This window comes from Homo sapiens, chromosome 5 (assembly GCF_000001405.40).
Source record: "Homo sapiens chromosome 5, GRCh38.p14 Primary Assembly".
Taxonomy (NCBI): Eukaryota; Metazoa; Chordata; class Mammalia; order Primates; family Hominidae; genus Homo; species Homo sapiens.
In genome coordinates, this window is record NC_000005.10 from 176,462,450 (window position 1) to 176,489,503 (window position 27,054).

Below are 27,054 nucleotides of genomic sequence, written 5' to 3' on the forward strand. Positions count from 1 at the left end.
CCCATCTCTACTAAAAATACCAAAATTAGCCGGGCGTGGTGGCGCATGTCTGTAGTCCCAGCTGCTTGGGAGGCTGAGGCAGGAGAATCACTCGAACCCGGGAGGCGGAGGTTGCAGTGAGCCGAGATCGCGCCACTGCACTCCAGCCTAACGACAGAGCAAGACTCCGTCTCAAAAAAATAAAATAAAATAGATGTTTAATAAATAGTTGAATCTAAATCCTAGAGCATCCTCTCATGTCAAGTTTTAAGATTGAAAAGTGATAAATTTTTAACATTTTGTGACTTGACATTAAATTTTGCTAATATATACACATCTTATGCATGTGAAATTCTAGGGGTGTGATTTCAAGCTATTTTGAAACATAATGGCAGAATTTGTCAGCCTAGAAGGGGTGAGGGATGGGCAGGGAACAGACAAGGTCAAATTATTAGATTATTTTTGGAGGACCAATAAAGTTTGCTTCGCTATAGTGTTTTTCACAAAGAGGATAACAGAAATACCTTCATTTCTCTTGAAACAACGTTTCTGCTTGAATCTGAGCGGTAAAGTCACATTTAGGAAAGGTTGAATATAGCCAACATACTTATTGTTTGTGTTTGTTTTAGTGGAATTAAGTCTGTTAAGTGAAAGAATCAATACTAGAATAGGAATTAATAGGGGCCAGGCCTGGTGGCTCATGCCTGTAATCCCAGCACTTTTGGGAGGCTGAGGCGGGTGGATCACCTGAGGTCAGGAATTTGAGACCTGCCTGGCCAACATAGCAAAACCCCGTCTCTACTAAGAATACAAAAAAAATTAGCCAGGCATGGTGGCAGACTCCTGTAATCGGGAGGGTGAAACAGGAGAATCGCTTGGCCCGGGAGGCAGAGGTTGCAGTGAGTCAAGAGGTATCACTGCACTCCAGCCTGGGCAACAGAGTGAGACTCCATCTCAAAAAAAAAAAAGGAATTAATGAAAGATAATTTATTTGGTTCCCCCAAAATCTAATTGTATTACTTCAGAACCTTTTAAGCTAGTTCAGACTCATCTCACAGTGCTTTACAAATGTCTCCTTAATGTGTCCTTCATGTTTCTTTTTTTTCCTGACTCAGATTCTGGAAGACCTCATGTTTCTCAATAGTAATATTAGCTAACCTGTTTTAATCTGCACAACCCAAGGAACTAAGCACTATTTTTATTTACATTTTACCAGTGAGGAAGCTAAACCTAAGAAAGATGCCTGAGGTTACGAAGCTAGTGCGTGGTAGAATTAGAATAAAGGGTTATTGCATGTTTTTTTTTTTTTTTTTTTCCTTGAGACAGAGTCTTGCTGTGTTTCCCAGGCTGGAGTGCAGTGGCGTGATCTTGGCTCACTGCAACCTCCGCCTCCCGGGTTTGAGTGATTCTTCTGCCTCAGCCTCCTGTGTAGCTAGGATTACAGGTGCTCACCACCACACCTGGCTAATTTTTGTAGTTTTAGTAGAGACGGGGTTTCACCATGTTGGCCAGGCTGGTCTCGAACTCCTGACCTCAAGTGATCTGCCTGCCTCAGCCTCCCATAGTGCTGAGATTACAGGCGTGAGCCACTGTGCCGGGCCTTAAATTTTTCTATTGCTGCTACACAAATTAAAATTGCTTGTGTCTCTAACTTTCCAACAAAGCTCAGCCACTTCTTCCACTTATTCTTTTTTTTGTTTCTTTTTTTTGTAGAGACAGGGTCTCACCGTGTTTCCCAGGCTGTCCTTAAGGCCTTAAGGCCTCCTGCCTTGGCCTCCCAAAGTGTTGGGATTACAGGTGTGAGCTGCCACACCCAGCCCCCACCTATTTTAATTGCTTGGATAAAGAATATTGTGGGGGGTTTTTTTGGAAATGTTTATTCATGTGGTATTTATGTATATTCGAATATTTATACAGTAAACATCCACACTTGTGTAATGCCATTTGGGTCTAATCAGTTATCAAATATTTGAGAATCTATTATTTAAGATTAAGATATGGTTATATCTTGATTTGCACAGACCATTTGGTTCCATTTCTGGTGTTTCCAAGCTGATTCTTTTTTTTTTTTTTTTTTTTTTTGAGACAGGGTCTTGCTCTGTCACCTGGGCTGGAGTACAGTGGCACAACCATAGCTCACTGTAGCCTCGACCTCCCGGACTCAAGTGACCCTCCCACATCAGCCTCCCAAGTGGCTGGGACTACATGCATGTACCACCATGCCCGGCTAATGTTTTTATTTTCTGTAGAGATGGGTCTCACTGTGTTGCCAGGCTGCCAAACTGATTCTAAGTGAAAATTCTTCAAGGGATATTAGTTTTTTTTTTTTTTAAAGACCTTCCCTTATGTGAAGTTGTGAGGTTAAATTTTCTTTTTTTCTAGAAGCAGAACCTTTCAAAGCCTTTACAAGATTATATTGCAGATTTCTAAAAGGGGTATTTGAAAAGAGGTATTTGATAGGCACTTTCTTTTTTTTTGAGACAGAGTCTCGCTGTATCGCCCCGGCTAGAGTGCAGTGGTATGATCTCAGCTCACTGCAACCTCCGCCTTCCAGGCTCAAGTGATTCTCTTGCCTCAGCCTCCTGAATACCTGGGATTATAGGCATGCGCCACTACCACGCCCAGCTAATTTTTGTATTTTTAGTAGAGACAGGGTTTCACCATGTTGGCCAGGCTGGTCTTGAACTTCAGACCTCAAGTGATCTGGCCGCTTCAGCCTCCCAAAGTGCTGGGATTACAGGCGTGAGCCACAGAGCCTGGCCAGATATGTACCATTTTCTAGTCTTATTTGACCCCAAACCCTTTGTCCATAGAGAAAAACTGTATCAACATGTTTGTTGATCTTGTGCCTAAAGGAGAACAGTTTTATATACGTCTGTGGGCTGATATTCAGCTACTAGTATATACAATAAAGAAACTGAAATTTTCTTTTTCTTTCTTTTTTTTTTTTTTTTTTGAGTTGGAGTTTGGCCCTTGTCATCCAGGCTGGAGTGCAATGACACAATCTTGGCTCACTGCAGCCTCCACCTCCTGGATTCAAGCAATTCTCCTGCTTCAACCTCTTGAGTAGCTGAGATTGCAGGCACCTGCCACCATGCCTGCCTAATTTTTGTATTTTAGTAGAGACAGGGTTTCACCATGTTGGCCAGGCTGGTCTCAAACTCCTGACCTCAGGTGATCTGCCCTCCTTGGCCTCCCAAAGTGCTGAAGTTACAGTTATGAGCCACCATGCCCAGCCCAGAAATTGAAATTTTCTGAATTAAGGATTTACTGAAAGCTATTTTAGCTGGGCACAGTGGCTCATGCCTGTAATGGGTACCTGGGAGGCTGAGGCAGGAGAATCACTTGAACCCAGGAGGCAGGGATTGCAGTGAACCGAGATCGTGCCACTGCACTCCAGCCTGGGCAACAGAGCAAGACTTCATCTCAAAAAAGAAAAGAAAACGATTTCAAGTAATAATGGGAGGCATTTTGGCATGAGAGAGAATCTGGACTTTGGAAGTAATTAATCTAGATTTCAGTCTTCACTCCACCATTTACCATTATCTAGATATTCCTAGACAAGGCGTGTAACTTTTTGAATCTTTGGCTTTCTCAGTGATGAAAATAAGGGTTTCAATACTTACAGTATCTGTTTTATTACACGGTAATAGATGTTTAGTAAATGGGAGCTGCTGGTACTTAATTTGGAGTATCAGTAATTAAATGTGAATAATAAAGATCTGAGTGTGTGTAAGAGTTTAAATTACTTTAGATCAGAGCCTAGCCATGATCACTTAATTTCCTGAACAGATTTCAGATTTCATTTCTCCTGCTACTATCAGAGAAGGCATACTGCCTATTACATAAAGCAAAGCAAAGCTGTCTGTGTGGTCGGAAGGAGAGAACAAAGATTCCTAGTTTTTGCCAAGTTTCTCTCTGGGAATAACTGAAAACAAGACCTAAAATATGCATTCTTAGCAAGCTAAAACCAACAAGCCAATTGGAATTTAGAGAGTACTTAAATCTCAGCTGAGATTTCACACCAACCCCGTGCAGCGTTTGTTAGTATAAACAGATGAGATATGGAAAGATAAACTCCACTTAGGAAAATGAGGAGATTACACCCTGGTTACCCAATCCCTATCCAAATAGCTGTTTGAGCCATCTGGTTAAAATACTACACACCATCTATTATTGTTTGTGATACCTTCTTTGAGTCATGCTTTAGCAAGAGATAGATCGGGATCACAGTATTTCGAAAGCTAGTCTGCAAGTGACTGACACCTTCTTGTCTTCTGACTTGGGAGAGGAGGAAGTTTGACCAAAGCTGCAGTAGGAAAGTAGTTCACACACTTCTGCAATCTCCCGTATACATTTTACAAGATGTTTGACCAAAGCTGAAGTAGGAAAGTAGTATAGAATAGTTCACACACTTCCCCAGTCTCCCCTGTGCATTTTACTAGAGATTGATTGGGGTTCAGTCTCTAGTAAGATGCCCCAAAAGTAAATAATGCCTTTCTCCCACTGATACTATCAGGCAATTACATTTTTAACTTCTGTAATTAAATGCAGTGCTCTCCAAAATCCTTGGGAAGTCAGTTTATGGAAGGGGAGTCATCTCTGAAGGGAGGAGGAAGGAGGGAAAGGATCACGGAGCAAGGGATTTTTCTCAGTAAGACAGACTGGGATGGGCCTGCCCAATGGCTGTTTTTTTTTTCCTTTTTTTTTTTTTTTTTTTTTTTTGGTCACTTGTCTGTCCCAGACCAGTGGGGGATTTATGGTAGCAATTGATGACATTAGACACTCGGCCCTGAAAGATTAGAGAGAGAAGGGGGTGCCATAGTTAACCTTTGTATCCATTGCAGCTAATTTGTACAATGCTATCTCAAGCCACCTTAGATGTCAGTAGACTTTTTTTGGTTTTTTTTGGTTTTTTTTTGAGTCAGTGTCGCCCTTTTTGCCCAGCCTAGAGTGCAGTGGTGCCATCTCAGCTCACTGCAACCTTCATCTCCCAAGTTTAAGCGATTCTTGTGCCTCAGCCACCCGAGTAGCTAGAGATTACAGGCATGCACAACCACACCTGGCTAACTTTTTTGTATTTATACAGAACCGGGTTTTGCCATGTTGGCCAGGCTGGTCTCAAATTCCTGGCCTCCCAAAGTTCTGGGATTATGGGCGTGAGCCACCACGCCCAGCCAGATGTCAGTAGATCTTAATGTAAACCAGAGTTCTAAAGAGCATGCCAGTTTTAGCTGACCTTTATTAAGCACTTACTGTATACCCAAATTGGTATGGGATACTTTGACATAATTCTTTTCAAAGATTCAGTATTCTCAATTGATAATGGGCAAGATAGCAATATCTGTCTTACAGGATTGTTGAGGAAAATGTGAAGATTAGCTATGTTAGTTCCTGACACAGAGTAGGAATAAATGTGTAATAATGAGAAGATCAGTGTTTAAGAAACTAGAAGGCTGGGTGTGGTGGCTCACACCTGTCATCCCAGCACTTTGGGAGGCTGAGGGTGGCAGATCACCTGAGGTCAGGAGTTCAAGACTAGCCTGGCCAACATGGTGAAACCCTGTCTCTATTAAAAATACAAAAATTAATCGGGTGTGTTGGTGGGCACTTACAATCCCAGCTACTTGAGAGGCTGAGGCAGGAGAATCACTTGAACCCTGGAAGCGGAGATTGTGGTGAGCTGAAATCTTGCCACTACACTCCAGCCTGGACGACAAGAGTGAGAATCTGTCTCAAGAAAAGAAAAGAAACTAGAGAGATATAAACAAAAGTTGATTGTTAGACTGAGGAAGGATTCATTCATTTATTCAGACATTTCCTATTTTATGCCAAGGCATTGCACTGGGTCTTGGGAGTATAGAAGTAAATAGAGGCTGGGCGCAGTGGCTCATGCCTATAATCCCAGCACTTTGGGAGGCCGAGGCAGGTGGATCACTAGGCCAGGAGATCAAGACCATCCTGGCTAACACGGTGAAACCCCGTCTCTACTAAAAATACAAAAAATTAGGCGGGCGTGGTCGTGGGCGCCTGCAGTCCCAGCTGCTCGGGAGGCTGAGGCAGGAGAATGGTGTGAACCCGGGAGGCGCAGCTTGCAGTGAGCCGAGATCACGCCACTGCATCCCAACCTGGGCGACAGAGCAAGACTCCGTCTCAAAAAGAAAAATAGAAGTAAATAGATTCCCTCCTCAAAAGAAAGTTCCTTTTAAAAGTGAATTATGGAGCTGGGCACATTGGTTCACACCTGTAATCTCACCACTTTGGGAGGCTGAAGTGGGAGGATCACCTGAGGCAAGGAGGTTCAAGACCAGGCTGAGCAACATAGTGGGACCCCACCAATCTAGCCCCCAAAAAAACAAAAAAAAAAAAGGTGGGTATGGTGGTACGTGCCTGTAGTCCTAGCTACTTGGGAGGCTGAGGCAGAAGGAGTACTTGAGCCCAGGAGCAGATGGTTACAGTGAGCTATGATCATGCTACTGTACTCCAGAGTGAGTGACAGAGAGACCCTGTCTGTAAAAAATATAAAAAATTTTAGGCTGGGCGTGGTGCCTCATACCTATAGTCCCAGCACTTTGGGATGCCAAGGTGGATGCATCACCTGAGGTCAGGAGTTCGAGACCAGCCTGGCCAACATGGTGAAACCCTGTCGGTACTAAAAATACAAAAATTAGCTGGGCGTGGTAGCATGTGCCTGTAATCCCAGCTACTCGGGAGGCTGAGGTAGGAGAATCACTTGAACCCAGGAGGCAGAGGTTGCAGTGGGCCGAGATCACACCATTGTACTCCAGCCTGGGCGACAGAGCGAGACTCCATCTCTAAAAATAAAAATAAAAAATTGTAGAAAAAGAATTATAATTGGAGTTCTGAAGAAATTAGTAGGAAGTTGAAGCCTGTGACTGATGTTAAGTCTAACATTCCTCTGCTTCTCTGTTTTACCTCTCTTCCAGAAATGCTGATAGCCAAACATTATTTTATTGCTGAGCAGAGAATTGGTAGCAAAGCTAATGGAATGTCTCCAGCCAAAACTGCAATATTCTTTCTCTCTGAACAAAGCTGGCATTGCAAAACTTAGGTTGGCACTGAAATGGCAATGAATATTGGCTTGAGACATACTTAGCATTTGACTTATGTTGAATCCAGCCCTTCCAGTGTAAATTGGAATAGTCCTTTCGAAATGCATTTTGGCACTGTGGGTCAAGAACTTTAAAAATAATGTATATTCTTTGGCTCCAAGTTTTACCTAGATCCAGAAGAAATCCTAAATAGAGGCAAACTTTATAAATAGTAGTGTTCATCATAGTGCTATTTTAATAGTGAAAATTGGAAGCAGCCGTAACATCTATATGTAAATTGTTGTAGCCAGTTAGAGTATTGTATAACCATGGTTATGAAGAGTGTATTAAGTTTATGAAGAGTTTGAAGGGAGTATTTCGTAAAATAATGTGCAAAATTATAAATATCTGAAAGAGAGGAGTCTCACACAGGTAAGAGAAAATAGAGAAGGCTCCTCAAACCTTGACTTGTATGTAGTGATGTGAGAGGGTGGGGTGGAAAAGTTGGTTTTCCAGCCAGGAGAGAAAACACCAGAAGATTCCTGTAAAGATCAAAGGCAGAGATGAATGGATTTTCCTCAGCATGCATACAGTCTAGAATGGAGAAGAAAAGACCATTAGACAGTTTCCCCTATAATAATTTTATTTAATTGTAAAAGAGGTTGAATCAAGCCCTAAACCTTTCCTTGGAGTGTGGGGAACTAGAAGGAAATTTGTAAATGTAAACCAGTTGTATTACTAATGGTTGGAACCACCACAGGGTAGCCTCTCACGCTACCCCATTTCTAATCTTTCTCTAATATTTAAACTTTACCAGCCGGGTGCGGTGACTCACGCCTATAATCCCAGCACTTTGGGAGGCCGAGGCGGGCGGATCACCTGAGGTCGGGAGTTCGAGACCAGCCTGACCAACATGGAGAAACCCGGTGTGCACTAAAAATGCAAAATTAGCGGGGCGTGGTGGCGCATGCCTGTAATGCCAGCTACGCGGGAGGCTGAGGCAGGAGAATCACTTGAACCCGGGAGGTGGAGGTTGTGGTGAGCCAAGATCGCGCCATCGCGCTCCAGCCTGGGCAACAAAGAGCGAAACTCTGTCTCCAAACATATAAATGAATAAATAAACTTTACCTAACTTATACTAGGTTTAAAAACACACTCACACACACACAAAAACTGATAGAAAACCCAGGTAACCAACCCTGTCTGAGTTATGAATGCAACTGTTTACAGACAGTGAATGCCAAATGAGTTCAGCACACTAGCTTACTTTGGCTTTTTTAAGAGATCACTGGAAAACGATCCTGCTGACTAGCAGTGAGGTCAGGTAGTTCTCACACAATGCATTTAATGTGATGAAATAGTGTTTTTACCTTCATCTGGCAGTCTATTTCCACTTTTTCCCATTCTTTTTACTTTTTTAAAGCCACTCAAATTTAGCAATGAGGGATTATATATCTCTTGTTCTTTTTAGATAGATTTACTTTACCATACATAAAAATTTCTCACAAAGGCAAATAGCTTACCTCGTTCTTTGTAAATAACACCATAATTCCATTTGCTTAAGCCTATGAGTACACCTTAATATTTCTCTTCCACCCCCACATGTTTAATCTATCACCTGATCCTTTTGGCCCTACCTCTAAAATAAACCCCAAATATGTCCATTTTCTGTTTCACTGCTGTCATTCTATTCTATGCCATCATTCTCTTTTCCCTGGACTTCATCTATATAATCTTGCTGGTGTCTTGCTGTCTTTCATGCCTTCTACAATTACTTCATATGCAAACAGGAATGACTTACTTTAAAATGTGCATATGATCATGTCACATGTCACTGGCACTAAATTTAGAATGAAGGGTCTGGGTTAGTGATTCTCATCCCTCTCTGTACATTCTTTTTTTTTTTTTTTTTTTTTTTTGAGACAGAGTTTTGCTCTTGTTGCCCAGGCTGGAGTGCAGTGGTACGATCTCAGCTCACTGCAAACTCTGCCTCCCGGGTTCAAGTGATTCTCCTGCCTCAGCCTCCTGAGTAGCTGGGATTACAGGTGCCCACCACCATGCCTGGCTAATTTTTGTATTTTTAGTAGAGACGGGGTTTCACCATGTTGGCCAGGCTGGTCTCGAACTCCTGACCTCAGGTGATCTGCCCACCTCGGCCTCCCAAAGTGCTGGGATTACAGGCATGAGCCACCACGCCCGGCCTCTTTTTTTTTTTTTTTTGAGATGGAGTCTCACTCTGTCTGTCACCTGGGCTGGAGTGCAGTGGTGCGATCTTGGCTCACCGCAACCACCTCCGCCCCCCGGGTTCAAGCAGTTTTCCTGCCTCAGCTTCCCCAGTAGCTGGGATTACAGGCACCCGCCACTATGCCCAGCTAATTTTTTGTATTTTTAGTAGAGACGGGGTTTCACCAGGCTGGTCACAAATTCCTAACCTCGTGATTCGCCCCCCTCGGTCTCCCAAAGTGCTGGGATTACAGGTGTGAGCCACCATGCCCAGCCCCTATCTGTACATTCTCATCACCTGTGTTAAGTTCCCTTTCCCTATAGGAAATAAACATGACCTTTTCCTAGGCACTACCTTCAGAGAATCTGGTTAAATTGTTTGGATTGGAGGGTCCAGACATCTGTAGGGTTTTAATTTGTTTTGAGTTTTTTTTTTTATTTTTTTGAAACAGAGTCTCACTCCGTCTCCCAGGCTAGAGCACAGTGGTGCTATCTCAGCTCACTGCTTTCTCAGCTCACTGCAACCTCCGTCTCCCGGGTTCAAGCGATTCTCCTGCCTCAGCCTCCTGAGTAGCTGGGATCACAGGCGCACACCACCGTGCCCAGCTAATTTTTGTATTTTTAGTAGAGATGGGGTTTCACCATGTTGGTCAGTCTGGTCTCGAACTCCTGACCTCATGATCTGCCCACCTCAGCCTCCCAAAGTGCTGGGATTACAGGCGTGATCCACCACGCCCAGCTTGTTTTTGTTTTTTTTAAGCAGAGAACAGGGTCTTGCTATGTTGTTCAGGATGGTCTTGAACTTCTGGGCCCAAGTGATCCTCTTACCTTGGCCTCCCAGAATGCTGGGATTACAGGTAATGAGCCACTGCACCCGGCTTGTAGCATTTTTTAAAAAGTTCCTTCATACAGGCCCACCATGGTGGCTCATGCTTTGGGAGGCTGAGGTGGGAGGATTGCTTGAGGCCAGGAGTTTGAGACCAGCCTGTTCAACATAGTGAAATCTTCATCTCTACAAAAAAAAAAAAAAAAGAAAAGAAAGAAAGAAAAAAGAAAGAAAGAAAAATAGGGCTCATATGGTTCTTATACAGGTAAAATGGAAAAATATTGCCTGAAATGAATGATCTTTCCCCTGCCTACTTCTCAGACCTTATCTGTCAACTTGCCAAGCTGGTTCTGTCTCCAATGTTTCCTCCCTTCTTGTTTCCTCCCTCCTTCAAGTTTTGTTTTACTTTTTAAATAAACTTGTCATTAGGAGAGATTTAGATTAACAGGAAATTGTGAAGATAATATAGAAAATTCCTAAAAATCTCATGCTGAATGTTTCTTATTAACACCTTGCATTATTAGTATGGTACACTTGTCAAAATTGATGAACCAATATTGATACACTATTATTAACAAAAGTCCTTTCTTTATTCTGATTCTCTTAGTTTTTACCTGATACTCTTTTTGTGTTCCAGGATCCCATTTAGGGTACTACATGCCATTTAGTAGTCACATCTTAGGTTCCTCTGGGCTGTGACAGTTTCTTGAGCTTTTATTGTTTTTGGTGACCTTGACAGTTTTCAGGAGTACCAGTCAGGTATTTTGTAGAATATTTCTCAATTGATATTTGCCTAATGTTTCTCTCATAATTGGGGCTGGGATTATGGGTTTTTGGCAGGAAGATTACAGAGGTAAAGCACGATTTTCACTACATCAAATCAAAGGTGCTCTCAGCATGCTTTATCACTGTCGATGTTTTGGCCTTGATCACCTAGCTGCAGTAGCGTTGGTCAGGTTTCTCCACTGTTAATCCCCCTGCCCTGTTTCCGTTCTGTACTCTTTGGAAGGAAGTCATCATGCCTAGCCCATCCTGGGAAGGAATGAAAAGTTATGTTCTACTTCCTTGAAGGTAAAGGTAAAATATCTATATAAGTTACTTGGAATTCTTCTGCACAGGATATTTTTCTATTCTCCCCAGTTTATTTATTCAGCCATGTATTTATATCATGCGTATTTATTTTATTGCTAAAATTGTTCGAGCTTTAGTCACTGGGATCTTTTTCAGTTGACTCCTCTATCCTTTGTTTTTCTTGGTAGAGATGAGATCTTGCTGTGTTGCCCAGGCTAGTATTGAACTCCTGGCCTCAAGCAGTCCTCCCACCTTGGCTTCCCAAAGTGTTAGGATTACAGGCATGAGCCACCACTCCCAGCCTCCTTTATCCTTTTGACCACAAGATTCTCTAGGCACATCTTATATATTTCCGGCCCCAGTCCTAGAATCAGCCACTTCTCCAAGGAGCCCTGATTCTTTTTATTAGAGAATGGTATTAGAAACCAAGTTCTAGGCATTGGGTGTGCTTGCTACTGGGATGTTGTGGCTTGTAGGACCTTTCAGCTGACTGAGCAAGGGATGTACATGTATGTATACTAAACTAAGTTTTTCTGTATGCAGTCATCTGTATCTATATTAAGCTAAACATGAGTTGATGTTTCCAATTCTATCCATTACCACTCTATCCATTCTAGCCTTCTTCCTTTGGTTATCTGTCACCTCTCACTTCTACAGACAGAAAACTGGCTTTCATCATTCACCATCTTTTTACTTAATTGTTCAAATCTGGGATACATATGCAGATATAGTGGCTTCAGAATACGTATTCCCATGGAGAAAAACCTTATCAAGTAGAGAACAGTGCTTAAGTGTAGTTCCTGTTGCCTTTAGTCTTATAGACTTCATTTCCAAAGTTTCTTAGCACCCCCCTTCCCCCTTTGGTGAGGTTGTTTCACATATTTTCTAGACAATTAGATTCTTTTGTCAAAGTCTGTGTTCCATCCGGAGAGCCTCTGATCTCTTAAATGATTTTTTAAATTTACATACATTAAGGTTCACTCTGCTGTAAAGGTCTGTGGGTTTTTATCTGTCTCACAGTTTTTGCATATGTTGGCCTTCTGCCTGGAATACTCTTCCCAGATATTTCCCCATGACTGGCCCCTTATCTTTCATTCAGATCTCTGCTCAAATATTATCTCCTTGAGGAAGCTTTCCTTGAGCACCCAATCTAAAGGAATCTTCTAGAACAAAATGAAAATTTTGTTAGTGTATTTTCTTCAGTATGTGTGGTTTGTTTTGACCAGTCTCCATTTACTAGGATGAAAATTTAAACAGGGCAGGGACTGTATCTGTATCCTGGATATATAGTGAATGTATGTTGATATATGAATGAATAATCCTGTCCCAGGTGTGTCCAGCATCACTTATTTCTAGGGCATAGTTTTAGTACTGATCAGTAGTAATTGAAAGCAGGCTTGTTCAGTTGGGTTTCCAGCTCACCCTGCTTCACTACTTAAAAAGTGTTTTGGTTATAAATTAGGTTAAGTGTTTCAGTATATTAAAGATGGCAGTCACTCTGTTCTCTCCTGCAATGTTTATAACCATTTATTTAAGGTTATTATTATTATTATTGAGATGAGGTCTCTCTGTTGCCCAAGTTGGAGTGCAGTGGCGCAGTTTACTGCAGTCTTGACCTCCTCAGGCTCAGGTGATCCTGAATAGATGATCCTTCTTGAGTAGCTGGGACTACAGGCGCACCACCACACCCGGCTAATTTTTTTTGTATTTTTTATAGAGATGGAGTTTCTCTATATTGGCCAGGCTGGTCTTAACTCCTGGGCTGAAGTGATCCACCCACCTTGGCTTCCCACAGTGCTAGGATTGCAGGTGTGAGCCACTGTGCGTAGCCTAAAAGTTACTTTAGTGAGGGATTTATAATCTCTATTCCTACTTAGAATTACATATCAATACCAGCCGGGCACGGTGGCTCACGCCTGTAATCCCAACACTTTGGGAGGCCGAGGCGGGTGGATCACCTGAGGTGAGGAGTTCGAGACCAGCCTGGTGAAACCTCGTCCCTACTAAAAATACAAAAACTAGCCAGGCGTGGTGGCAGCCACCTGTAATCCCAGCTACTTGGGGAGCCAAGGCAGGAGAATCACTTGAACCCAGGAGGCGCAGGTTGCAGTGAGCCGAGACCGTGCCATTGCACGCCAGCCTGGGGGACAAGAGCGAGACTTCGTCTAAAAAAAAAAAAAAAGAATTACTATCAATACCACGGATTTCCCAGCTCGGCTGTACATTAGAATCAGCTGAGGAGCTTTAAGAACAAACACTGCTTCCTGAGCTCTTTCCTGACTTACTGATTTTCAGGAAAATTCTACAAATTTGTAATGTTTTAACAACCAGCTTGGCATCTAGTCAGAACATTTGAAGTTAAAAAACCCCAGTAACCAGGTATGGTGGCTCACGTGTATAATCCCAACACATTGGGAGGCCAAGGCGGGAGGATCGCTTGAGCCCAGGAGTTCAAGGCCAGCCTGGGCAACATGGTGAAATCCTGTCTCTACCCAAGAAAAATAGAAAAATTAGCCAAGTGTGGTGGCGCACACCTGTGGTTCCAGCTGCTCGGAGGCTGAGATGGGAGGATCATTTGAGAGCGGGAGACAGAGGTTGCAAGTGAGCCAAGATCGTTCCACTGCACTCCAGCCTGGACAACAGAGCCAGACAGAACCTGTCTTAAAAAAACAAAGCAAAACAAAAAAAACAGTGTATTAATGTAAAGTGAGATTTTGTGATAATATCTAGAGGATTTCAGCTTATAGCTATGATGACTGAAGCTTATACAAAAAGGTCCTTTTAACTTGGACTGATTCTTCTACGATTTAAGCCCATAGTGTGTGCCTGGTACTAGTGAATATTACAGTGAATTGTTCCCTGCTCTCAGAGAACTTACATTACACCCTCTGAGAAGGCAATAGAATGAATGTAAATAATCATAAGATAGGAAACAATAGGCACATAAGAGACGTAGAAAACAATTTTGGTATTTAGAGGAGGGAGCAGTCATTTGCACACTGGGGAAGATGGTAAGATTAGAGTCCCTTTTTTTTTTTTTTTTTTTTTTTGAGATGGAGTCTCGCTCTGTCACCTAGGCTGGAGGGCATTGGCATGATCTCGGCTCACCACAACCTCTGCCTCCTGGGTTCAAGCGATTCCCCCACCACAGCCTCCCGAGAGTATCTGGGACTACAGGCACGCAGCACCACCATGCTGAACTAATTTTTTTTTTTTTTTTTTTTTTTGAGATGGAGTCTTCCTCTGTCACCCAGGCTGGAGTGCAGTGGCGCTATCTCAGCTCACTGCAAGCTCCACCTCCCTTGTTCACGCCATTCTCCTGCCTCAGCCTCCTGAGTAGCTGGGACTACAGGCGCCCACCACCATGCCCGGCTAATTTTTTGTATTTTTAGTGAGACGGGGTTTCACCATGTTAGCCAGGATGGTCTCGATCTCCTGACTTCGTGATCCGCCCGCCTCGGCCTCCCAAAGTGCTGAGATTACAGGCGTGAGCCACCGTGCCCGGCCTTTTTTTTTTTTTTTTTTAAGTTGAGGCGGGGTTTCACTGTGTTAGCCAGGATGGTCTGGATCTCCTGACCTCATGATCTGACCGCCTCGGCCTCCCAAAGTGCTGAGATTACAGGCATGAGCCACCGTGCCCGGCCTTTTTTTTTTTTTTTTTTTTAAGTAGAGGTGGGGTTTTAACCATGTTGGCCAGGCTGGTCTCTAACTCCTGACCTCATGTGATCCGCCCACCTCAGCCTCCCAAAGTGCTGGGATTACAGGCGTGAGCCACCATGCCTGGCCTAGAGTCCAATTCTTAAAGAGAATCCACAGCGAGAAGGAGGAACCCTGGACATCCCAGTCCTTTAGTGGGTTGTAATGTAGGACACTGAAAGTTAAGGGGGTCCTATTAGAAGCCAGAAGGGAATAGGCAAATGTGAAGAGTCCTGTAATGGTCAGGACCTAAAATCCAGACTCAGAACTGTCAAAGCCAGTGGTTCTTAAAGGAACTTTTCTATTTCAGCATTTTAAACATTAACATTTTTTATTGCAAGTTTTTGTACTACATGTGTAATTATAAAAAATGAAAACTTGTATACCTAAAAATCCGAATTTCAGTTTTTGAATTTTGTTTCATTTTTTTAAGCTCTGGAAAAGAAATGCATTCCACATTAAACCCTTCACATTGCACATAAAGGAAACTAAATTCAGAGTTAAAATGTGCCTGTCCGTGGCCATGGGGTGCAGAATTAGGCAAGAACTTCAGTTTTCAGACTCATCAGTCCATACTACTACATTCTTGTCAGGTTGAGATCAGTCTCTTTGCCCTGAAGCTTACTGGTTGTTTAGAGGAGTTTCTTGAGGATAGAGACTACATCTTATTCATTTTCTGTCCCTCCAACATAGTAAGTTAGTGCTGTACAGAATAGGCATGTAGCACACATTTGTCAAATGAAAGGATGGATGGATTAGATGGATGGTTTTGGCTTTTATATTAGACTTTGAAGGAATGCTAGAGTTTAGCTCTGTGGAAATTCTGGGCATGAGATGTATACATGAACTGTTAGATTTGCTGAATATTGGACATCTGAACGGAAATAGTGAGAAAATACTGTAACTGCAGTGGCTCACACCTATAATCCCAGCACTTTGGGAGGCCAAGGCAAGAGGATTGCTTGAGCCCAGGAGTTGGAGACCAGCCTGGGGAATATAGAGAGATCCCGTCTTTACAAAAAACATCCAAAATTTAGCTGGGTGTGGTGGTGCACACCTGCAGTGCCAGCTACTCAGGAGGCTGAGGCGGGAGGATCGCTTCAGTCTGGGAAGTTGAGACTGCAGTGAGCAGTCATTGCGCTATTGCACTCCAAACTGGATGACAGAGCAAGACCCTGTCTCGAAAAAAAAGTGGCGGGGGGTAGGGGGGTCGGTATGTTAGGTTTTACACAGTTCATATTATAAACTAGGTTAATACCAGTATATAAAATGAAATAAGTTAATGAAAGGCATGACGTTTTACAGGAAAGGTGCATTACATCATTATGTAGAGGTTGAGTATTCCTTATCTAAAATGCTTGGAACCACAAGTGTTTCAGATTTGGATTGTTTTGAGAATTTGGAATATTTACGTTTTACTGAATGAGCATCTCAAATCTGAAATGTTCCACTATGCATTTCCTTTGAGACATGTCAGCACTCAAAATGTTTCAAAAAATGTTGGAGCATTTTAGGTTTCAGATTTGGGATGCTCAACCTGTACTATCAACAGAATAGCTGTTTAGCATTAAATAATATTTTGCTTAGCCCACAGGTTGAAAAATCTTTAATTTTTTAAACTTGAATTTGAGAGGAGAATATTGATCTTAGTCAGTACTCCTCTTAATTGAAAGCCTTGAAGTTTTAAAAGGAATTATCATTTTTTTAGTTCTTTACGCATCTAGAACAGTCAGCTGACTGTATAAATTCTGAATCGGTGAAGTTTTACCATACTTTAACACTCACTTTTAACATTTTTTAGTGTATTTTCCTAGCAGTATATGGCGTAAAAATACTCACACGTATACTGTTGGTTTTTCTCTAAGTAACTTGTTTTCATCCTTCTTTTCAGGATCTCACTGGCATCGAATCTATGGATCAGTGTCGCCATACCTTGGAACAGCATAACTGGAACATAGAGGTATAATAGGATGTGTTCTGAGCTTATTTCTTTTTCTCTGGTCTGATTAAGAGTCAAAACCGTATGTTTTTCCATAGCAGGAATCTTTTCAGTAGATTTTTTTCAGAATTATGACTCTAAAAATAAAAGTGCAGGAAGGTAAAGAATGTGAGAAAGTTTATAAAATCATAGAAAAATTTGTGACTAAATCCCTCAATATAGTGCCCCACCCCCTACTGTTTGTTAGTATCTTGTTGGGAAAACAATTGGTTTTTGTATATTTAGTTTTTAACCAGATGTCTTGATGTGAACCTTCTTCTTACATATTTTATAGTTTATTCTTTGGGGTTGTCTAGGTAGTCATGTTCTCTGCAACTCTTCTCCTTGACCATTGAATTAGCAAGAACTTTAAAACACTGTCAGTTGATAATGGTAATAGCATTTTGTCCTCACTATAATGCCTCTGATTTTTTTTTTTTGAGACAAAGTCTCGCTCCGTCTCCCAGGCTAGAGTGCAGTGGCGTGCTCTCAGCTCACTGCAACCTCTGCCTCCCAAGTTCAAGCGATTCTCCTACCTCAGCCCCCTGAGTAGCTGGGATTACAGGCAGACACCACTGCACCCGGCTAATTTGTATTTTTAGTAGAGACGGGGTTTCACCATGTTGCCTAGGCTGGTCTTGAACTCCTGACCTCAGATGATCCGCCCCGCTCAGCCTTCCAAAGTGCTGGGATTACAGGCGTGAGCCACCGCGCCCGGCCATGCCTCTGATTTTTTATTAGCAAGTGTGATGTTAGTTGTTACTTTGAGATAGATCTCCAAGGATGTAAGCTCCCTAAGAGCAGAGATTTTTTTGTTTTGTTTTAACTGCTGTATTCCCAGCATATAACATGGAAATAAATATCTGTTGGTTTTTCCCTTCCATTCTTAGTATATTAATAGTTTATACTGAGTGGATGTTGAATTTTGTCAAAACACCCTCTTGATCCCAAATTACTGTTTTAATTATTATATGCTATTTTAAAAGGGTGCTGGATTCCTAAAAACGTGTTCCCTTTTTTTTTCCAGTTTTTTTTTTTAATAAAATGTATTCCTAATATGATTTCGTTATTCAACACATTTTTGAGCAATTAAACTCTAGGCTCTGGCATTATATTAGTGAACAAAAGTAAGTCCTTACTCTTTTTTAATTTTTTTAAGACGGGGTCTTGCTCTGTCACCTGGGCTGGAATGCATTGGCACAAGCATACCTCACTACAGCCTTTGACTTCTGGGCTCAAGCAATTTTCCTGCCCTAGCCTCCCAAATAGCTGGGACTACAAACATGTAACACCATGCCCAGCTGATTTTTAATTTTTTTGTGGAGACGAGGTCTTGCTGTGTTGCCCAAGCTGGTCTTGAATTCCTGGGCTCAAGCAATCCTCCTGCCTCAGCTTCCCAAAGTACTGGGATTACATGTGTGAGCCACCACATCCAGCCAAGTCCCTACTCTTATGGAACTTAATTCTAGAGAATTTCAGTTTGTAATAAATGACCGGAGGGGAACATCACACACGGGGCCTCTCGGGGGGTGGGGGGCTGGGGGGCTAGGGGAGGGATAGCATTAGGAGAAATACCTAATGTAGATGACGGGTTGATGGGTGCAGCAAACCACCATGGCATGTGTATACCTATGTAACAAACCTGCACATTCCGTACATGTATCCCAGAACTTAAAGTATAATTTAAAAAAATAAATAAATGACAAATGAGATGAGCATAGGAAATGGAACAGAGGATCTGGAGAGTTTTGCTTTTTGTTTTTTTATCTTTATTTATTTTTATTTTTTTGAGATGGAGTTTTGCTCTTGTTGCCCAGGCTGGAGTGCAGTGGTGTGATCTTGGCTCACTGCAACCTCCGCCTCCCGGGTTCAAGCAATTCTCCTGCCTCAGTCTCCTGAGTAGCTGGGATTATAGGTGTGCACCACCACGCCCGGCTAATTTTTTGTATTTTTAGTAGAGACGAGGTTTCACCATATTGGCCAGGCTGGTCTTGATCTCCTGACCTTGTGATCCACCCACCTCCGCCTCCCAAGGTGCTAGGATTACAGGCATGAGCCACCACACCTGGCCTTGTTTTTTTCTTTCTAAGAGACAGGGTTGGGCCGGGCGCGGTGGCTCACGCCTGTAATCCCAGCACTTTGGGAGGCCAAGGCAGGCAGATCACGAGGTCAGGAGAACGAGATCATCCTGGCTAACACAATGAAACCCTGTCTCTACTAAAAATATAAAAAATTAGCCAGGTGTGGTGGTGGGCGCCTGTAGTCCCAGCTACTCGGGAGGCTGAGGCAGGAGAATGACGTGAACTCGGGAGGCAGAGCTTGCAGTGAGCTGAGAACATGCCACTGCACTCCAGCCTGGGGGACAGAGTGAGACTCTGTCTCAAAAAAAAAAAGGGAGAGAGAGAGACAGGGTCTTACTGTGTCACCCAAGCTGGAGTGCAGGTTTGATCATAGCTCACTGCAGTTGAACTCCTGGGCTCAAGCATTCCTCTGACCTCAGCTTCAAGTAGATGGGACTACAGGCCCACGCTACCACACCGGGCCCTAGCGTTCAAGCTCTTGTGTGAATATGTGTTTTCATTTCCTTTGGGTCTATACCTAGGAATGGACTTTGCTGAGTCATATGGTGACACTATGTTTAACCTTTTGAAGAGCTCCCAGACTGTTTTCAAAGTGGTTATACCATTTTAAATTCCCAACAGCGTTGTAGGAAGGTCTGAATTTCTCCACACCCTCACCAACACTTGTTAATATTTGTCTTCTAGATCATACTCACCCTAGTGATCTAGGGTGGTTTTGATTTGCATTTCCCTAGTGGCTAAAATGATGTTGAATATTTTTTCATATTCTTATTGAACATTTGCATATCTTCTTTGCAAAAATGTCTATTCAAGTCCTTTGCCAGTTCTTAAATTTGGTTATCTTTTTCATGTTGAGCTGTGAAAGTTTTTTTTTTTTTTTGAGATGAAGTTTCACTCTGTGGCACAGGCTAGAGTGCAGAGGCGTGATCACGGCTCACTGCAACCTCCACGTCCCAGGTTCAAATAATTTTCCTGCCTCAGCCTCCTGAGTAGCTGGGACTACAGGTGTCCCATGCCCGGCTAATTTTTGTATTTTTAGTAGAGGCGAGGTTTCTCCATGTTGGCCAGGCTGGTGTTGAACTCCTGGCCTCAAGTGATCCACCCGCCTTGGCCTCCCAAATTCCTGGAATTACAGGCGTAAGCACTGCGTCTGGCCAGTTTATGTTTTTTTGAGACAGGATTTCTCTCTGTTGCCCAGGCTGGAGTACAGTGGTACTATTATGGCTAACTGCAGCCTTGACCTCCCAGACTCAAGTGATCCTTTCACTTCAGCCTCCTGAGTAGCTAGGACTACAAGCACACACCACCACATCCAGCTAATATTTTATTTTTTTATTTTTTGTACAGATGGGGTCTCGCTGTATTGACCAGGCTGGTCTTAAACTCCTGGGCTCCAGTGATTCTCCCAGCTTGTCTTCCCAAAGTGTTGGGATTCCAGACGTGAGCCACCATGCCTGGTGCTTATCTGATATTTAATTTGCAAATGTTTTCTCCCTTTCTGCGAGTTATCTTTTTACTCTCTTGATAGTGGTTTGTGGTTTTGTTGTTGTTGTTGTTGTTGTTTGTATTTTTAGTAGTGTTGGCCAGGATGGTCTTGGTCTCTTGACCTTGTGATCCGCCCGCCTCGGCCTCCCAAAGTGCTGGGATTACAGGTGTGAGCCACTGTGCCCGGCCTGTTTTCTTTTTTTTATTTATTTTTATTTATTTTATTTTTTTTGAGAGATGGAGTCTTGGTTTGTTGCCCAGGCTGGAGTGCAGTGGCCTGATCATAGCTCACTGTAACCTTGAAGTCCTGGGCTCAAGAAGCCTTCCTGCCTCAGCCTCCCTGACACCTCAGACTACAGGTACATGCTATCTTGCCGCATTCATGATAGTGTAATTTGATGCAGAAAAGTTTTTCGTTTTGATGAAGTCCAATTTATCTACTTTTTTCTTTTGTCGCGTGTGCTTTTGTTGTCGTATCTAAGATACTTTTGCTTAATCTGAGGTTGGGAAGATTTATACCCTTGTTTTAAGAGTTTTATAATTTCAGCTTTTACATTTAGGTTTTTGATGTATTTGATGTATTTGTAGTTAATTTTTATGTATAGTGTGATCTAGGGGTTAATCCACTTTCTTTTGCATGTGGATATCCAATTATCCCAGCATCATTTGTTGAAAGATTATTCTTTCCTCGTTGAATTGTAAAACTAGGGGACTACCTGATATTAGCCAAATTTCAAAGTTTGAAGCTAGTAATTGAGTTCAGAGGGCACACTGCCCTCCTAAAGACCACCTTCACTTCTGAAACCACCTGCAGTTTCAGAGTGTCGCAAAACCGTCTTCAGATTTGCTAATTCACTAGAACTCACTGAAAGTTGTTATAGTCATGGTTATAGTTTATTATAGGGAACATATAGATTAAAAGCAGCTAAAGGAAGAGACAAATAGGGCAGAGTTGGCCGGGTGTGGTGGCTCACGCCTGTAATCCCAGCCCTTTCGGAGGCCAAGGTGGGTGGATCACGAGGTCGGGAATTTAAGACCATTCTGGCCAACATCGTGAAACCCCATCGCTACTAAAAATACAAAAATTAGCTGTGTGTGGCGGTGCGTGCCTGTAATCCCAGTTACTTGGAGGATGAGGTGGGAGAATTGCTTGAACCTGGGAGGGGGAAGTTGCAGTGAGCCGAGATTGTACCACTGCACTCCAGCCTGGTGACAGAGCTAGACTCCGTCTCAAAAAAAGAAAAAAAAAGAAAAAAAGGGGGCAGAGTCTAAAAGGATTTTGGACATGAAGCTTGCATACTACGCTCCTGCAGAGTCGGGACACATTACCTTCTTGGCATAGATGTATAACAATATGCATGAAGTATAGTAGCCCCCTCCACCCACAGTTTCACATTCTGTGGTTTCAGTTACTAGTAGGCAACTGTGGTTTGAAAATATTAAGTGGAAGATTCCAGAAATAAACAATTCATAAGTTTTAAAATGCATGCTGTTCTGAGAAACATGATGAAATCTCACTCTGTCCCATTCTACCTTACCCGGAACGTGAATTATCCATTTGTCCAGCGTCTCCATACTGTATACAAGACCCACCTGTTAGTCAGTTAGTAGCCGTTATCAGATCAACTGTTGTGCCATTACAGTACTTTTGTTCAGGTTCCCCTATTTTACTTAATATTGGCCCCAAAGCACAGGAGTAGTGATGCTGGCAACTCAGCTATGCTAGAGAGAAGCCAGGAAATGTGTCCTTTAAGTGAAAAGGTTAAAGTTCCTGGCCAGCAGTGGCTCATGCCTGTAATCCCAGCACTTTGGGAGGCCGAGGCAGGTAGATCATGAGGTGAGGAGTTCAAGACCAGCCTGGCCAAGATGGTGAAACCCCGTCTCTACTAAAAATACAAAAATTAGCTGGGCACAGTGGCAGGAGCCTGTAATCCCAGCTACTCGGGAGGCTGAGGCAGGAGAATCGCTTGAACCTGGGGGCGCGGAGGTTGCAGTGAGCTGAGATCATGCCACTGCACTCCAGCCTGGGCAACAGAATAAGACTCCATCTCAAGAAAAAAAAAAAAAAAGGTTAAAGTTCCTGACTTAATGAGGAAATAAAAAAATTATATGCTGAAGTTGCTAAGATCTAGCTTGTGTTTGTGAAATTGTGAAGAAAGAAAAAGAAATTCATAGTAGTTTTATGGTCACACTTCTGCAAAAATTGCAGCCACAGTGCATGATAAGTGCATAGTTAAGATGGAAAAGGCATTTTTTGAGTGGAAGACATGAAGAGAAATAGCTTCCAATGACAGCATTCAAGTTCGGTACTATACATGGTTTCAGGAATCTACTAGAGGTCTTGGAACATATCCCTGTGGATAAGAAGGGACTACTGTATTGCCAACCAGGGAAGCTTCAGTGCTTCCAGAGAATTTATTAGGGCATCATTACATAGGCACGATTGATTTGTTTGGCTGCCCACATGGTTGAACTCAGTCTTCAAGTCAACTGATACCAAGTTGTCCAAAGTTCCCCACCCTAAACCACATGGTTGGTCTTTCTGGCATGGCCGGCTTTCACCCTAAGACTACTGGGTGTTGCAGCTGCAACCTAAAATCTAGTAACAAAGACATGCTTATCAGGTCTGACATAGATTACCTCCCAAAAGGGAAAGATCAGACATCTCTTTGGGTAAGGTCAACTTTTTTTTACTACATTGAGACAAATATCTATTTCAAGGACAGAGTTAAGGAGGGAATGAATTTTTTAAACTGAATATCAGTAGTCTGACAGGAGTTGTATTAGGATCTTTATGTGTGGCCAACTCATTAAATTTTCAGATTAACTCAGAAATATTGTTCCTTTATTTTGCACATGAGGAAACTGAGGCTCATATGTTTTTTTCTTCTTTATTTTTTATTTTTAGAGACAGGGTCTCGTTTCATTGCCCTGGCTGGTCTCGAATTTCTGGTCTCTGGGCTCAAGCAATCCTCTCACCTCAGCCTCCCAAAGTGTTAGGATTACAGGTTTGAGCCACCGCGCCTGACCTGAGGCTCATACATTGAGCAACTTTTCAGAGAGATGGAGCTTGGATCAGACCGAAGTTTCTCTGCTGCAAGCCCCTTCATCAGATGCCACTCATCAGGACTGCTTCACTGCATAACTCCAGGGGTACTGCCTACATTGTATTCTCTGAGGATGGCTTTTCTTGGGATTGTACAGTGAAGCACTTTATATCCCAGCCACCCTAAATAATACATGCCATCTGAATCCAGGCAGTACGCTTGCTGCATAAATGTAGCTTCCAGACAAGTTTCCTCGTCTCCTCTACCATGGATGCATTCTGGAGTGACAACTCCAGTTGCCTCCAAGTACAGCCGGTTAACAGGCCCATGAAGGTGCACTCCTCAGTGACCTTTTGGTGTATTCATGACCATCCTGTTTTGGAATACCACGCAATAGTTGCCTCACCTCTTGTTGTTGGTTGATTTGAGCATCGCTGAAACTCTTGCCACTCCGTTTTCCTTCTCAGGCTGCTGTACAGGACAGATTGAATGAGCAAGAGGGCGTACCTAGTGTTTTCAACCCACCTCCATCACGACCCCTGCAGGTTAATACAGCTGACCACAGGATCTACAGCTATGTTGTCTCAAGACCTCAACCAAGGGCAAGTTATTTCATAGCTGGGATTTCCCCCTTTTTTATTTATAAGTATATCCACTTGGTTATATTGATCTCCCTGTGACAGGAGCAAAACAAATATTTAGAATGTAAACCTGTTAGTTAGACTTGGCCCGTTGGGTGTATTATTTTGCCTTGATTCCTCAAGGAATTGTTACAGAAACTACTCATTTTTTTTTTCTTTTCTTTGCCAGTTATTTGGAGAGTGTTTTCTGCCTCTTAAGTTACAATTTGTTTACTCAAGTTCTTTGTTGCTTCAGTTTACTTAATCTTAAACCAGTTTTGAGGAAGTATATGGAATCTTTGTAGGAGCTTTGGCCACGTCTTTGAAATTAGCCTTGAAGGGCTAGTAGCAAGGAGGTGGTTCACTTAAATTTGACAGACATTTAAGAGTACTCCAATAACCTGGTATCTTGCTACTAGGGATCCAGACATGAATAAAGAGCCAGTCTTCCCATTTCAAATTCAATTTCTCACAGTCTATTGAAGGAAGTCAGATGTGTACACTGATAATGAATTCTAAAGAACTGCTTGGACTTTCTTTTTCTTACCCCTGGGGTTATACTCACCTCTTATACTTTTATACTTGCATTTAGAATCCTAAGAAAACACTCCCTTTAACATTGCAGCAGTTAGAATTTACTCCATCATCAAGCCTTTTTGTGGAGTACTTGATTTTTGTTGTGTTTTGTTCTGTTTGAGACAGGGTCTCACTCTGTCGCCCAGCCTGGAGTGCAGTGGCATGATCTTGGCTCGCTGCAGCCTAGACCTCCCGGGCTCAAGCAGTCCTCCACCTCAGCCTCCTAAGTAGCTGGGACTACAGGTGTGCGCCACCATCCTGGTTAATTTTTGTATTTTTTGTAGAGATGGGGTCTTGCTATGTTGCCCAGGCTGGTCTTGAACTCCTGAGCTCAAGTTATCTGCCCACCTCAGCCTCCCAAAGTGCTGGAATTACAGGCTTGAGGCACTGTGCCTGGCCTACTTGATGTTTTAAAACATGTTTCTAAGTAGTGCTCTGTGGTTTTCTGAAGTACAGTAGCAGATTCCCATGTCAGCCATGGGGCTCCAGAGCTTCCTGGCCACAGACACAGAAAGTGTCTCAGGTTAACACAATGTGACAACTATGAAATGCTTTATAAACTATAGAGCCCTGGATGTATGCTAGTTTTAATAATTAATAACAGCAATAATAATTAGCATTATTACTAAGATAAGCAGCTATATGGGGATTTGTCATTGTGGTTAATATAATTATTTAATGTTTATATACCAATGTCCAAGGTTAGTAATAGTGATTATCTTTCTTGCTATTTCTATATACATTATTTTAGGTTTTTATGTTTGTTTGTTTTGTTTTGGGACAGAATCTCCCTCTGTTGCCCAGGCTGGAGTGCAGTGGTGTGATCTCAGCTCACTGCAACCTCAGCTTCCCAGGTTCAAGCGATTCTCCTGCCTCAGCCTCCTGAGTAGCTGGGATTACAGGCGCCCACCACCGCGTCTGGCTAATTTTTGTATTTTTAGTAGAGACAGGGTTTCACCATGTTGGCCAGGCTGGTCTCAAACTCCTGACCTCAAGTGATCTGCCTGCCTTGGCTTCCCAAATTGCTGGGAGTACAAGTGTGAGCCACCACACCCAGCTAATTTTTGTATTTTTAGTAGAGACAGGGTTTTACCATGTTGACCAGGCTGGTCTCGAACTCCTGACCCCAGGTGATCCATCCGCCTCAGCCTCCCAAAGTGTTGGGATTACAGGCGTGAGCCACCAAGCCTGGCTTATTTCTGTATACCATATTTTGATGTGTAAATCTAAAAAGGAAAGAATGAGTGTGTATCATTTGGGGAACATTAATTTGCAATTGAATTTGACAAGTCTATAAGTAGCTGCCAAAAATAAGTATTAAGGCAGTTTTGGTTTTTATTTGTTTGTTTGTTTTTTTGAGACAGAATCTTGCTCTGCCCCCAGGCTGGAGTTCAGTGGCGCGATCTCAGCTCACTGCAACCTCCGCCTCCTGGGTTTAAGCAATTTTCCTGCCTCAGCCTCCCTGAGTAGCTGGGACTACAGGTGCATGCCACCATGCCTGGCTAATTTTTGTATTTTTAGTAGAGATGGGATTTCACCGTGTTGGCCAGGCTGGTCTCAAACTCCTGACCTCAGGTGATCTGCCCCACTCAGCCTCCCAAAGTGCTGGGATTACAGGCAGGAGATACAGCTCTGGACCTTAAAGCAGATTTAATACAAAAATTCTGCAAAAAAAAATGATAGTAAGATGAAATAAGACCAAAGATGGTGGCACTTAGAAGGATGAGGTGGCCAGGAAGAAGGAACTGTACTTTAGAGGAACAAATCACATGGAAGGACCAAAAAGAGTGAGAAAATCTGACCTAGCCATTTGATAAAATATTAGGGATTGAGAGAATTGTCTCTAACTTTGTTTTTGGACTTTCAGGGGCTGCTTGGATGGGGTTATTACTTGATAATGCTTCCATTCCGGTTTACCTATTACACGATACTTGATATATTTAGGTATGTACCTTTGGATTTATGTATTAGTAGAATAGTAAGACTTTGGAGCTGAAATTTAGGCCAAAATAAGCTTTATGCTCTATCAATGTTGACTTACCAATTTGTCATGAGATGGAATACACTTCCCGAACTGTCTTTTAATACAACATACAAGTATTTTAAATTGTTGAAGCATTGGCAGGCATTGTGAAATGGAATTGTTTTTAAATTAGTCTTACCTTTTGTTTGCAAAAACCAGTCTGACTATATTTATTTGTCTCCCCCTCCCCCCCCCACCATATTTGTCACCTCTACACTTCCTAGTTGATGTCCACACCCTTTCCTTTCTAACCACTATCATCTCCTAGCTTCACACTCCTTAGAACTTTCTTCCTCAACTACTTCTCCTCCACCTGACTACTCACAATCCCAACAAATTCTCTTGCTCTGAGATTACCCAGTTTGCCCTTGATTCCTCCCACAATAGTTGGACCTCC

At 42.6% G+C, this 27,054-nt stretch overlaps 1 protein-coding gene across 2 annotated transcripts in view; it reads left to right on the forward strand.

Moving 5' to 3' along the window:
- The window catches only part of FAF2 (Fas associated factor family member 2), a 61,690-nt gene that overhangs the window by 14,065 nt on the left and 20,571 nt on the right, over window positions 1-27,054 (forward strand). Inside the window, exons 2-4 of one of the 2 annotated variants that reach the window (NM_014613.3) lie at window positions 16,739-16,807; window positions 23,906-24,040; window positions 26,502-26,578. In NM_014613.3, coding sequence (NP_055428.1) covers window positions 16,739-16,807; window positions 23,906-24,040; window positions 26,502-26,578 — 281 coding nt within the window. The remainder of the gene's footprint in view (window positions 1-16,738; window positions 16,808-23,905; window positions 24,041-26,501; window positions 26,579-27,054) is intronic. The other variant, XM_011534475.4, reaches the window with a different exon arrangement.